At 43.1% G+C, this 14,005-nt stretch overlaps 1 long non-coding RNA gene across 1 annotated transcript in view, besides 1 other annotated feature; it reads right to left on the reverse strand.

The window, feature by feature from the left end:
• LOC440084 (uncharacterized) overlaps nucleotides 1-14,005 on the reverse strand; it is a 56,469-nt gene that overhangs the window by 23,018 nt on the left and 19,446 nt on the right. The window lies entirely within an intron of this gene.
• Nucleotides 9,114-10,108: an enhancer, noted in NCBI's record as "OCT4-NANOG-H3K27ac-H3K4me1 hESC enhancer chr12:11615275-11616269 (GRCh37/hg19 assembly coordinates)". NCBI's record gives its function as "activates a minimal SCP1, AML or CMV promoter by ChIP-STARR-seq in primed H9 embryonic stem cells {active_cell/tissue: H9 hESC(primed)}" and the evidence as "EXISTENCE:reporter gene assay evidence [ECO:0000049][PMID:30033119]".

Genomic DNA, 14,005 nt, shown 5'->3' on the forward strand with positions numbered 1-14,005 from the left:
CTCTGGACAGTATAACTACTTTAACAATATTTATTCTTCCTATCCACGAGCATGGAATGTTTTTCCATTTGTGTCCTCTCTGATTTCCTTTAGCAGTGTTTTGTAGTTCTCCTTGTAGAGATCTTTCACTTCCCTGGTTAGCTGTATTCCTAAGTGTTTTATTATTTTTGTGGCAATTGTGAATGGGATTGCATTCCTGATTTGGCTCTTGGTTTGACTGTTGTTGATGTATAAGAATGCTAGTGATTTTTGCGCATTGATTTTGTATCCTGAGACTTTGCTGAAGTTGTTCACAGCTTAAGAAGCTTTTGGGCTGAGACTATGGAATTTTCTAGATATAGGATCATGTTATCTGCAGACAGGAATAGTTTGATTTCCTCCCTTCCTATTTGGATATGCTTTATTTCTTTCTCTTGCCTGATTGCCCTGGCCAGGACTTCCAATATTACATTGAATAGGTGTAATGACAGAGGGCATCCTTGTCTTGTGCTGGTTTTCAAGAGGAACACTTCTAGTTTTTGCCCATTTAGTGTGATGTTGGCTGTGGTTTCTTATAGATGGCTCTTATTATATTGAGTTGTGTTCCTTCACTATCTGATCTTCGACAAACCTGACAAAAACAAGCAATGGGAAAAGGAATCTCTATTCAATAAATGGTGCTGGGATAACTGGTTAGCCACATGCAGAAGATGAAAACTGAACCTCTTCCTTACACCATATACAAAAATTAAGTGAAGATAGATTAAACACTTACATGTAAAATCCAAAACTATAGAAAACCTGGAATACAATCTAGGCAATACCATTCTGGACATAGAAACAGGCAAAGACTTCATGACGAAGACCCCAAAAGCAATTGCAACAAAAGCAAAAATTAACAAATGGGATTTAACTTAAGAGCTTCTGCTCAGCAAAGGAAACTATCAACAAGGTTAACAGACAACCTACACAACGGAAGAAAATTTTTGCAAGCTATGCATCTGACAAAAGTCTAATATCCAGCATCTATAAGGAACTTAAGCAAATCACCCATTAAAAAGTGGGCAAAGGACATAAACAGACACTTTTCAAAAGAAGACATACATATCACCAAAAATCATATGAAAAAAAAGCTCAACATCACTAATCATTAGAGAAATGTAAATCAAAACCACAATGAGATAACATCTGACACTAGACAGAATGGCTATCATGAAAAAGCAAAAAATAACAGATGTTGGCAAGGCTGTGGAGTAAGAGGAATGCTTATACACTGTTCGTGGGAGCGTAAATTAGTTCAACCATCATGGAAGACAGTGTGGTAATTCCTCAAAGATCTAAAAACAGAAATACCGTTCAACCTAGCAATCCCATTGCTGGGTATATTCCCAAAGAAATATAAATTGTGCTGTTATAAAGACACATGCGCTCATATGTTCATTGCAGCACTATTCACTATAGCAGACATGGAATCAACCTAAATGCTCATCAATAGCAGACTAGGTAAAGAAAATGTGGTACATATACACCATGGAATGCTATGCAGTCATTGAAAAGAGCAAGATCATGTCCTTTGCAGCAACATGGACAGAGCTGGAGGCCATTATCCTCAGCAAACTAATGCAGGAACAGAAAACCAAATACCGTATGTTCTCACTTATTAGTGGGACCTAAATGGAGAGAACACATGGACACATAGAGGGGAGCAACACACACTGGGGCCTATCAGAGGGTGAAGGTGGAAGGAGGGAGATCAGGAAAAAGAACTAATGGGTACTAGGCTTAATATCTGGGTGATGAAACAAATCTATACAACAAACCCCCATGACACAAGTTTCCTATGAAACAAACCTGCCCATGTACCCCTGGACTCAAAATAAAAGTTAAATTTTTAAAAAAAAGAAGTTCTTGGTAATGCCCACAAGAACTTTATCTCTGTCTATCATAGCAGGTTCCACCTCTCAGTTCTCCACCTATCCAAGGGCAGAGGGCAGAGATTCTCATCAGCAAAGCAGTCAGGTAATTGCCAACAATCCAAGTAAATTCAGGACTTAGACTCCATTCTAGATTTTGCCTCTGACTGACTTTAAGCTAGTTTTCTTCAGGAGAAGGACGCAAAATAACACTTTTCTTTTAAAGAATTGTTATGCTAATCTCCGTGGGGGAACAGATGTAATTACTTACTATTCTTCACAGTCCCAAACATCTTGAATTTGCTGTGGCTTGGAAGGCAAACAAATCTTCACAGCCTCTCTTACTGTGATTCCGCTGCAAAGGTGAGACAACTTCCATGGCAAACTTAATGGTAATATTTTCTAATTGAGTTACCCCTACTCTTCTTCTTCCAAGACATTTTCTCCCCAACATAATCCTCGCAGTCTTTATTTAATCAGAGTCTGTGTCTAATACATTACAGATGCTCAAAGAAACATTTCATATAAGAGTGAAATAATTAATGGTGTGGGAAACAGATCAAAAAGCTCAGCCAGACCCAGGTTAGATGGGACTCATGAAGACTTCCTTGACAGTCAGGTGAATGAGAAAGCCAGCAGCCAGGAAACCGGGCTGTCCCTCTGACATGAACATCTTGGAAATTCCAGATAAGCATTACTGAGATGCTGAAGAGGAATAGTTAGCTGGCCAGGGCAGAGGGAACAGCAAAAAGCAGAGTTTACAGGGCCTGGAGAGCAACTGAGTTACCTGATTTACGTTGGTTGGTGCTAGACTCCCTTGGAGCGGGCAGAAGAGGCTACCAGTCACCTTCCTCATGGTGGGCAGTCTTCTGTTTCCAATGGGAAATGCATGGAGAAACAAAGCAGTGAAGTACCTGGAGGGCAGCCGTGCTAAGGTAAGGCAAAAACCAAGCCCTAGTCCTTCTCTCACTTTCAAGTCTTCTTAAGGGAGGAAGAGATTTGATAGATTATCCACTAAATTTCATTGGGACAGTCACTAGGGGCTGGATGGGTGGAAGTCATTTTATATAAGGCCAAATCAAAGATTTTTAAAACAAGTTAAGGATAAAGAAAAGTAAAAGGCGGAAGATGATAAATGAGAAGTAACTTGGAATCACATTAAATACAGCCATCACAGTAAAAAAAAAAAAAAAAAAAAAAATCTATTGAGCTCTTGCTGGGATTGAACAGAGATGACCAGTTTAATAATTCAATGGGCCTAGAACAATGGCCCAAACTTGTAATCCTAGCACTTTGGGAGGCTGAGGAAGGAGGATCACTTGAGTTCAAGAGTTCAAGACCAGCCTGGACAACATGTCTCTACAAATAATTTAAAAAGTAGCCGGGCATGGTGGTGCATGCCTGTGGTCCCAGCTACTCAGAAGGCTGAGGCAGGAGGATCATGTGAGCCCAGGAGGTCAAGGAAGCAGTGAGCTGTGACTGTGCCCCTGCACTCCAGCCTGGGTGACACAGCGATATTCTGTCAAAAAAAAAAAAATAATGGAACGATTTGTAAAAAACAAACAAACAAAAAAGCAAGTAGAAAATATCAGAGACAATTCAAGATCATTATAACCATGACCTTTAATTAAAATTAAGAGAATAAAACTAAAAGAACAACAGAACTAGAAAAAATCCACAGACATAGAAAAATATAAAATGTATTCTGTAGTTGTAAATAATACTCTAGGAATACATAGGTTCTGGCAAAACCCAATTTGCTGTTCAGGTTATGTTTTGGCTTTAAAATGTGTTGTCCTAACTTGAGGAAATAGGGGATAGAGAGGGTAAAGATGATAGGAAAATGAAAACACTGGCTAAATAAAGTCATTAGAAGGCAAAGAAGAAGGTAAAGGGAAAAATTCATGGTAAATTAGGTTGGAAGATAAGAGGATGAAAAGAAGTAGCTTTCTCACTTATTTTAGTAATAATTGTTATGAGTGAGCATAATTTGCCTTTAAAAGGAGTAAATTTTTTTAAAAAAATATAGATGTTTGCACTCCTTATTACATGTTCTGACTTGTATATTAAGTCATTTAACAAATATGTATTGTATCAGGCATTGTTCTAAGCACTAGTAGGAAATAAAATAGGCGAAGTCCCTGCTATCATAGTGAAGGAAGAGAGACATAAAAATAAACAAATATAATAAATTAGATAGGATTAGTAGTATGGGGCCAGGCTCGGTGGCTCATGCCTGTAATCTCAGCACTTTGGGAAGCCAAGGTGGGAGGAGTGCTTGAGCCCAGGAGTTCGAGACCAGCATGGGCAACAGAGTGAGATTTTTTATTTTCTAAAAACAAAATAGATAGGGTTAGTAGTATAGAAAAACCATCAAGGAAGATTTATTGACAGGGCTGGTGTGGTAGGTCCAGAGGAATCTAGGGCCCATGCTATTTTATATGAGGGCTCCAAGAAGGTCTCTCTGAGAAAAGTTTTCAAGAAAATGAGGGAGAAAGACAGATGCTATCTGGAGAAAGAATGTTCCAGGCAGCAGGAACAGTAGTGCAAAGGCCCTGAAGTGGCATGGAAATGGCTTTGGTTCATTTTCTTCATGTACTTCTGCTTGGTCTTCTCTCAATATAGGAGGACTAAAATTAAGAGCCACCAGACAGAAAGTTTCATGAGGCAAATATGAATTTACCAGACTCAATTTGTTCAACAAATATCTTTTGAGTACCTGTGAGATAAACCAAGCACTGTTCTAGGTGCTAGGGCACAAACTTTCCAAAACAAAGTTTCTGGCCCTAATGAAGCATCCCATCGTAAAGGCAGGGACTGACAAGTAGGCCAAAGTAGTAAAGAATACATAGTGTGCTATACAGCACAAGTGCTAAGAAGAAAAGCAAAGAAGTGAAGAGGCATAGGGACTGAGTGTGTTGGTGGGGGATGAGCCCCAGAACCCAGATGGATCTTGAAAGGAGCACGGGTGTGTCAAAAAGGAAAATATTCGCAGCTGATTTTCCGATCCTGGAACCGTAGAGAAGGGTTAGACACAAACAATCCTTGTGGATGAAGCAAGTAGTTAAACATTAACACAAAGAACTAAGACCCAAAACAATACAGACAACAACAGGAAGCAAATATTAAGGCCGTTGCTGATTAACTTATTCAGTAAGCATTTTCAGTAAGTATTTTTAGGTAAGCTTACAGAATGCAAAGTGAAGCTAGAAGATAAAGTTAAATGAGCTCACAAAGGGTGGGGGAATACGTCTGGGAGGTGAGGTGCACCTCTGCCCGGCCGCCCCATCTGGGAAGTGAGGAGCGCCTCTGCCCGGCCGCCCTATCTGGGAAATGAGGTGCGCCTCTGCCCGGCCGCCCCATCTGGGAAGTGTACCCAACAGCTCCGAAGAGATAGCGACCATTGAGAACGGGCCATGATGACGATGGCGGTTTTGTCGAAAAAGGGGAAATGTGAGGAAAAGAAAGAGAGATCAGATTGTTACTGTGTCTGTGTAGAAAGAAGTTGACATAGGAGACACCATTTTGTTCTGTACTAAGAAAAATTCTTCTGCCTTGGGATGCTGTTATTCTATAACCTTACCCCCAACCCTGCGCTCTCTGAAACATGTGCTGTGTCCACTCAGGGTTAAATGGATTAAGGGTGGTGCAAGATGTGCTTTGTTAAACAGATGCTAGAAGGCAGCATGCTCCTTAAGAGTCATCACCATTCCCTAATCTCAAGTACCCAGGGACACAAACACTGCGGAAGGCCGCAGGGACCTCTACCTAGGAAAACCAGAGACCTTTGTTCACCTGTTTATCTGCTGACCTTCTCTCCACTATCATCCTATGACCCTGCCACATCCCCCTCTCTGAGAAACACCCAAGAATGATCAATAAATACTAAAAAAAAAAAAAAAAAAAAAAAAAAAAGGGTGGGGGAATCATAAGTCAGGGTGGTGAAAGAACCTTACAAAGGAAGGAACAGAAAGCAGAAGCAAATGTGTGAGGAAACAGGGAAGAACCTAAGGAAGCCATGTTCCAGAAAGACTATAAAAGACTCAGAGCACAAGCAACAATGCTAAATGTACCCATGTATATCATTATTTAAAAAGAACCCAGGCTGGGTGCAGTGGCTCATGCCTGTAATCCCAGCATTTTAGGAGACCAAGGTGGGCAGATCGCTTGAGCCCAGGAGTCCAAGACCAGCATGGGCAACATGGCGAAACCAGTCTCCACAAAAAAATACAAAAATTAGCTGGGCATGGATGGTATGTGCCTATAGTTTCAGCCCCTAGGGAGGCTGAGGTGGGAGGATCTATTGAGCCAGTGAGGTCAAGGCTGCAGTGAACTGCGATCACACCACTGCACTCCAGTCTGAGTAACAGAGCAAGACCTTGTCTCAAAATAAATAAATAAATAAATAACCCATAATCCACCGCATTTATGGCAGGAATCATCATCTTCTTTGGGCATTATTTCTTTCTTTTTTTTTTTTTTAGAGATGGGGTCTTACTATATTGCCCAGGCTGGTCTCAAAATCCTGGGCTCAAACAATGTGCCCGCCTTGGCTTCCCAAAGTGCTAAGACTACAGGCTTGAGCCACCACTCCTGGCCTGCATTATTTCAAGTATAGATTTCTACCAACTCACCACTACCAGCTCACTGGTAACACATTTCTTGGTAAGCCTTTCTATCTCTTTTAGCCAGACTAGTAATAACTAAAACAGTAATATTAATCGACTTCAGACAATAGTGGTCATTCCTAAGGCTGGAACCAGGTAAATATAACACAACATGTAGCTTTTTTTTTTTTTGGCAGGGGCGTGGTCAATAAATGTCTATTGAGCACTTACTGTGTACAAAATTAAGAGGAAAGAATAGTCTCTTCTCCTAACCTCTCCCATCCTTATTTGAGAGGAAAAGTGGGGAGAAAATAAGAACATGTGGCCCAAGCCTTGATTTTATCATCTAGTTCTGGGAGACAGGTGTGTAAGGAATGAGGGAAGAAAAGGAAGAAGCAATGCTATGGAAGTTCAGAAGGACCCATGAGTGAAAGCAGGAATCAGGAATTGGAAAACTTGTATTGGAGAAAGTAGTTTGTTTTGTGCTTTGAAAGGTTAGGAAATTAAGAGATGCAAAAGGATATTTTGAACCCAAAACCCTGTTTCACTAGACTATTAATGTTAACTACTAAGAAAAGACAAGTAAATAGAAGTCTGCCAATGCTTTATCCCTTTGCTAATTCCTCTGGAAGGATTTCACTGAATGGGTAAGAAATCCTTATGCTTCCTTCAGACCACAAGACTGGGATTCTTTATGTGATTGCTTTCACTTGAAGAGAAGACAAAAGGTCTGTTCTGGCTCTTCTTTCCACAACACTAAAATGAGATGTATTTTTCTTTAATCACTTCTATCTGACTCCAGGTACAGCCCCACATTCCTCATCCATTAATCATTTACTGAGCATATACAAGATGCCAGGCAGTTTGCTAAACAATATGCATAAAAAGATTAAAACCTCATGATTTCTTCCACCCCAGATTTCAAAGACTAATGAGAGAGACAGGCATACAACAAAATAATGGCACACAAAAAATGAGCTAGAATGCGTGGAGACATAGTGTAGCAATTGCCTATCTATAGAGTAGGGTGAAGGAAGGGCCTGAAACCCACTTCACAGAGAGGGGAGTTCCCAATAAGGGGTGGGGTGAATGTAGAAGAGGGGTGGGGAGAAACATCTGAAACACAATAGAGCCAGGTAGGTTTAAAACAAAGTGGTGAATTTGGTGAAGCAACAGCACACATTTCAGGACTGGAGAGAGATAAAGGACCCTGAACACTTCATTAAGGAGCTTGGGCTTTATCCTGTAACTCAGTGGGCAAATATCCCTTGCTTCAGATCAACAGAGTGACTTGCTAAAAATATGAGTTTCTGGACACTACTTCAGAGAGGAGGGCCTGAACATCTATATTTTGGACAACTTCACCAAGTCATTCTTTCTTTTTTTGAGACAAGGGCTCACTCCATTGCCCAGGCTGGAGTGCAGTGCCACGATCTCAGCTCACTGCAGCCTCGACTTCCTGGACTCAAGCAATCTTCCCACCTCGGCCTCCTGAGTAACTGGGACTACAAGTGCACACCACCACACCTGGCTATTTTTTGTATTTTTTTGTATAGGTGGGGTTTCTCTATGTTGCCCAGGCTGGCAGGTGATTCTTAAGTATACTAAAGTTTCCCAACAATTGTTATACTAAGGGGAATCTTCCAAAATTTTTCAGCATGGGAGGAAAATAAATTGACATTCTAAAAAGTATTACAGACGTACATACTACATGTGTGTGTATCACATCTAAACTTTACACTAGTTCAAAACTCTTTTCCACATATGGGTGTCTAACGTTCCTCATTAGGAGGGAAACACCACGCCCCATTATGCATCATCAGCCAGCTAATTACTCCCCTTCTGACCACAGCCAGCATGCCTTAGTGTCTTCAAGCACAGGTAGCAGGAGTCTCCCAGCAGGGAAAAGGCCATGCCTCCGACCTAGCTCACTCTGAGACCTATACTGGCCCCAGCGTGTTCCTCACCTCATTCAACATTCCAGCTTGGAAGGGATGCTACCATGTTTGGTAGATCTAACCATGGCACTGCCTTTTTAATGGCTTTCCATTGTCCACAGGAAAAAGGGCAAATGCCAAGGCAAATCATGAAGTGCTGTCTCAATCCAGTCCCTACCCAGTTTTCCAAATGTTTTTTCTTTTTATTTTTTTTAATTTAAGTAGAGGAAGAGTATCTATTTGTTGCCCAGGCTGGCCTCCAACACCTGGCTTTAAGCAGTCCTCCTGCCTCAGCCTCCTGAGTAGCTAGGACTGCAGGCACGCACCACCATGCCCAGCTAATTTTTCAAATATTTTTCTAGAGACAGGGTCTCGCTATGTTGCCCAGGCTGATCTCAAACTCCTGGCTTCAAGTGATCCTCCTGTCTTGGCCTCCTAAAGTGCTGGGATTATAAGCATGAGCCACTGTGCCTCGCCCAAATTTATTTTTTACTAGTACTACCTTTCATGCCCGTCTGTGTGAAGAGACCACCAAACAGGCTTTGTGTGAGCAACATGGCTGTTTATTTCACCTGGGTGCAGGCGAGCTGAGTCCTAAAGGAGAGTCAGTGAAGGGAGATAGGGGTGGGGCTGTTTTATAGGATTTGGGTAGGTAAAGGAAAATTACAGTCAAAGGGGGTTTGTTCTCTGGCGGGTAGGAGTGGGGGTCGCAAGGTGCTCAGTGGGGGTGCTTTTTGAGCCAGGATGAGCCAGGAAAAGGACTTTCACAAGGTAATGTCATCACTTAAGGCAAGGACCGGCCATTTACACTTCTTTTGCAGTGGAATGTCATCAGTTAAGGTGGGGCAGGGCATATTCACTTCTTTTGTGATTCTTCAGTTACTTCAGGCCATCTGGGCATATACGTGCAAGTCACAGGGGATGCGATGGCTTGGCTTGGGCTCAGAGGCCTGACATTCCTGCCTTCTTATATTAATAAGAAAAATAAAACAAAATAGTGTTGAAGTGTTGGGGTGGCGAAAATTTTTGGGTGCTATGGAGAGAGAATGGGCGATGTTTCTCAGGGCTGCTTCAAGCAGGATTAGGGGCGGCGTGGGAACCTAGAGTGGGAGAGATTAAGCTGAAGGGAGGTCTCATGGTAAGGGGTGATATTGTGGGGATGTTAGAAGAAACATTTTTTGTATAGAATGATTGGTGATGGCCTGGATATGGTTTTGGATGAACTGAGAAACTAAATGGAATAACAGAAGGAGAAAAACAGGTATAAAAGGTCTAAGAATTGGGATGACTCAGGATATCTGATTAGAGAGTGCCTAAGGAGATTCAGCATAGTCCTGCCAGCAAAGATTATTTATTTACTTCAAGAGTTAAGAGTGGCATTTTGGGGATAGCACCAGGAGATATCAGCTGTGATGGCTTGGAAAAACAGTGTGAACCGGCAGTGTAAACAAGAGCAGGGCATGTATGAGTAGTTGAGAACGGTGAATAGGAGTATGACTAGACAGAAGATAGTAGGGATGACAAGTTTTTTGGGGAACAGTCTAAGTTGGTCTGGTGTCTGGAATGAGACTGGGGCCTAATAAAAAGGAGCATCTATACAGGACCTTAAATGGGCTGTACCCTGTAGCATTCCGAGGACAGGCCTGAATTCTGAGAAGGGAAAGTGGTAAAAGTATTGTTCAGTCCTTTTTAAGTTGGTGGCTGAGCTTGGTGAGGTGTGTTTTTAAAAGACCTTTAGTCCATTCTACTTTTCTTGAAGACAGAGGACCATAAGGGATATAAAGGTTTCACTGAATACTAAGAGCCTGAAAAACTGCTTGGCTCATTTGACTAATAAAGGCTCGTCTGTTATCAGACTGTATTGAGGTGGGAAGACTAAACTGAGAAATTATGTCTGACAGAACGGAAGAAATGACTGTGGTGGCCTTCTCAGACCCTGTAGGAAAGGCCTCTACCTATCCAGTGAAAGTATCTACCTAGACTAAGAGGTATTTTAGTTATCTGACTCGGGGCATGTTGAGTAAAGCTAATTTGCCAGTCCTGGGTGGGGGCAAATCCTCAAGCTCGATGTGTACGGAAGGGAGGGAGCCTGAATAATCCCTGAGGAGTAGTAGAATAGCAGATGGAACACTGAGAAGTTATTTCCTTGAGGATAGATTTCCATGATGGAAAGGAAATAAGAGGTTCTAAGAGGTGGGCTAGTGGCTTGTACTATAGTATAACCTGCCTTCGCTGGTGTGTGGCGATTAGGCCTGGTGGAACTGCCATCAATAAGTCAAGCGTGATCAGGGTGAGGAACAGGAAAGAAGGAAATTTGGGGAAATGGAGTGAATGTCAGGTGGATCAGAGAGATACAGTCATGGGGGTCAGGTGTGGTATCAGGAATAATGTGGGAGGCTGGATTGAAGTCTGGGCCAGGAACAACGGTAATTGTGGGAGACTCAACAGAGAGTACAGCTGAAGGAGCCGGGGAGCAGAAAGTATATGCGTCAGGTATGAGGAAGAAAATAGATTTTGGAAGTTATGAGAACTGTAGAGAGTGAGTTGAGCATAGTTTGTGATTTTGAGGGCCTCTAAAAGTATTAAAGCAGTGGCAGCCGCTGCACGCAGACATGAGGGCTAGGCTAAAACAGTAAGGTCAAGTTGTTTGGACAGAAAGGCTACAGGGTGTGGTCCTGGCTCTTATGTAAGAATTCTGACCGCGCTAACCATGCCTAGGAAGGAAAGGAGTTGTTGTTTTGTAGAAGGTGCTTGGGTTTGAGAGATCAGTCGGACACGATTGGCAGGGAGAGCACGTGTGTTTTTATGAGAATTATGCTGAGATAGGTAACAGATGAGGAAGAAATTTGGGCTTGATTGAAGTAATGGGGGCTGTCTGTGAAGCTTTGTGGCAGTACAGCCTAAGTAATTTGCTGAGCTTGATGGGTGTCAGGGTCAGTCCAAGTGAAAGTGAAGAGAGGCTGGGATTAAGGGTGCAAAGGAATAGTAAAGAAAGCATGTTTGAGATCCAGAACAGAATAATGGGTTGTAGAGGGAGGTATTGAGGATAGGAGAGTATATGGGTTTGGCACCACGGGGTGGATAGGCAAAACAATTTGGTTGATAAGGTGCAGATCCTGAACTAACTTCTAAGGCTTGTCTGGTTTTAGGATAGGTAAGATGGCAGAATTGTAAGGAGAGTTTATAGGCTTTAAAAGGCCATGCTCTAGCAGGCGAGTGATAACAGGCTTTAATGTTTTTAAAGCATGCTGCAGGATGAGATATTGGCATTGAGTGGGGTAAGGGTGATTAGGTTTTAATGAGATGGTAAGGGGTACATGATCAGTCACCAAGGAGGGAGTAGAGGTATCTTATACTTGTGGGTTAAGGTGGGGTGATACAAGAGGAGGATGCAAAGGAGGCTTTGGATTGGGAAGAAGGGCGGCAATGAGATATAGCTGTAGTCCAGGAATAGTCAGGGAAGCAGATAATTTAAAGTGTCTCAGCCTAATAAGGGAACTGGGCAGGTGGGGATAACTAAAAAGGAGTGCTTAAAAGAGTATTGTCTAAGTTGGCACTAGAGTTGGGAAGTTTTAAGAGGTTTAGAAGCCTGGCCATCAATACCCACAACAGTTATGGAGGCAAGGGAAACAGGCCCTTGAAAAGAAGGTAATGTGGAGTGGGTAGCCTCCGTATTGATTAAGAAGGGGACGGGCTTACCTTCCACTGTGAGAGTTACCTAAGGCTCGGCATCCGTGATGGTCTAGGGGGCTTCCGAGGCGATCGCGCAGTGTCAGTCTTCAGCCGCTAAGCTGAGAAGGAGTCAGTCAGAGAGCCTTCGGCCAGAGTTCCAGGGGCTCTGGGAGTGGCTGCCAGGTGAGTTGAACAGTCCGATTTTCAGTGGGGTCCCACACAGATGGGACGCGGCTTAGGAGGAATCCCGGGCTGAGGGCATTCCTTGGCCCAGTGATCAGATTTCTGGCACATGTAGCAAGCTCCTGTGGGAGGAGGTTCTGGAGGAATGCCTGGCCACTGCGGTTCAGGCATTTGGAAGTTCTTATGTGCTGGAGATGTGGCTGGGGTTTGTCTCACAGTGGAGGCAAGGAATTGCAACTTTTTTCTATTATTTTACACCTTGAAGGCGAGGTTAATTAAATCCTGTTGTGGGGTTTGAGGGCTGGAATTTAATTTTTGGAGTTTTATTTAATGTCAGGAGCAGATTGGGTAATAAAATGTATTTTGAGAATAAGATGGCCTTTTGACCTTTTAGGGTCTAGGGCTGTAAAGTGTCTCAGGATTGCTGCCAAACAAGTCATAAACTGGGCTGGATTTTTATATTTGATGAAAAAGAGCCTAAACGCTATCTGATTTGGGATAAAGAAAAAGGCACATTAACCTTGACTATGCCTTTAGCTCCAGCCACCTTTTTAAGAGTAAATTGCTGGGCGGGAGGGGGAAGGCTAGTCACGGAACAAAACTGTAAGCCAGACCAGGTGTGAGGAGGGGAGGTGATAAAAAGATTATAGGGTGGAGGAGCAGAGGCTGAGCAAGAATTGGGACCTAGCTCAGCCTGGCGAGGAGCAGCCTGGGGAGGAAGGGAGAGGTCAGATGGGTCTGTACAACAGGAAGATTAGAAAGACTCAGTGACGCTTGGGGTTGGGACTGAGGGGACAGGCGGGAGGGAAAGAAGGAAGATTTGGGATGAGTTGCACTGGGCACAGAGACTAGGAAGGGACTGATGTGTAAAAGAATGCCTGGACATCAGGCACCTCAGATCATTTGCCTATTTTATGACAAGAATGATTTAGATCTTGCAGGACGGAAAAATTCAAAGTGCCATTTTCTGGCTATTTGGAACTACTGTCAAGTTTGTATTGGGGTCAAGCGGCATTGCAGAAGAAAATAAGGCATTTAGATTTTAGGTCAGGTGTGAGTAGAAGAGGTTTTAAGTTTTTGAGAACACAGGCCAAGGGAGTAGAAGGAGGAATGGAGGGTGGAAGGTTGCCCATAGTGAAGGAAGCAAGCCTAGAGAAAAGAGAGAGTAGAGAAATGGAGGGAAGGGGTTCGGGGGTTCTTCCCTTCCAGAAAAGTGGGAAAAGGCATTGGGGTGCAGAGATAAGAGGTTGGGGCATGGAAATAAGAGATGGGGCACCGAAATAAGAGGTCAGGGCATGGAAATAAGGGATTGGGGCACAGAGATAGAAGAGGTTGGGGTGCAGAAATAAGGAATTAGGGCACAGAGATATGAGGTTGGGACACAGAAATAAGGGATTGGGGTGCAGAGATAAGAGGTTGGGGCATGGAAATAAGGGATTGGGTGTTCTTGCCCCATAGAAAAGTGGGATTTGCCGCTAAGGGTGAAGGAGAAGGGGTTGAGGGGTACTTGCCCCTCCCCCAGAAAAGCAGAGAAGGGGTAGAGAGAAGGAGAGAAGGGGTTGGGGTACTTGCCCCTTCCCCAGAAAAGTGGGACTTGCCAGTAAGGGTGAAGGACCAAGGCAGGGGTCCCTGCATGGTCTGACACCTTTGAAACGTGGGTGTATAATCAGAGAGACGTCCCTGCAATGATTAAACACCAAGGGAAGGCTGCCTT

Source organism: Homo sapiens, chromosome 12, assembly GCF_000001405.40.
Source record: "Homo sapiens chromosome 12, GRCh38.p14 Primary Assembly".
NCBI classification, from domain to species: Eukaryota; Metazoa; Chordata; class Mammalia; order Primates; family Hominidae; genus Homo; species Homo sapiens.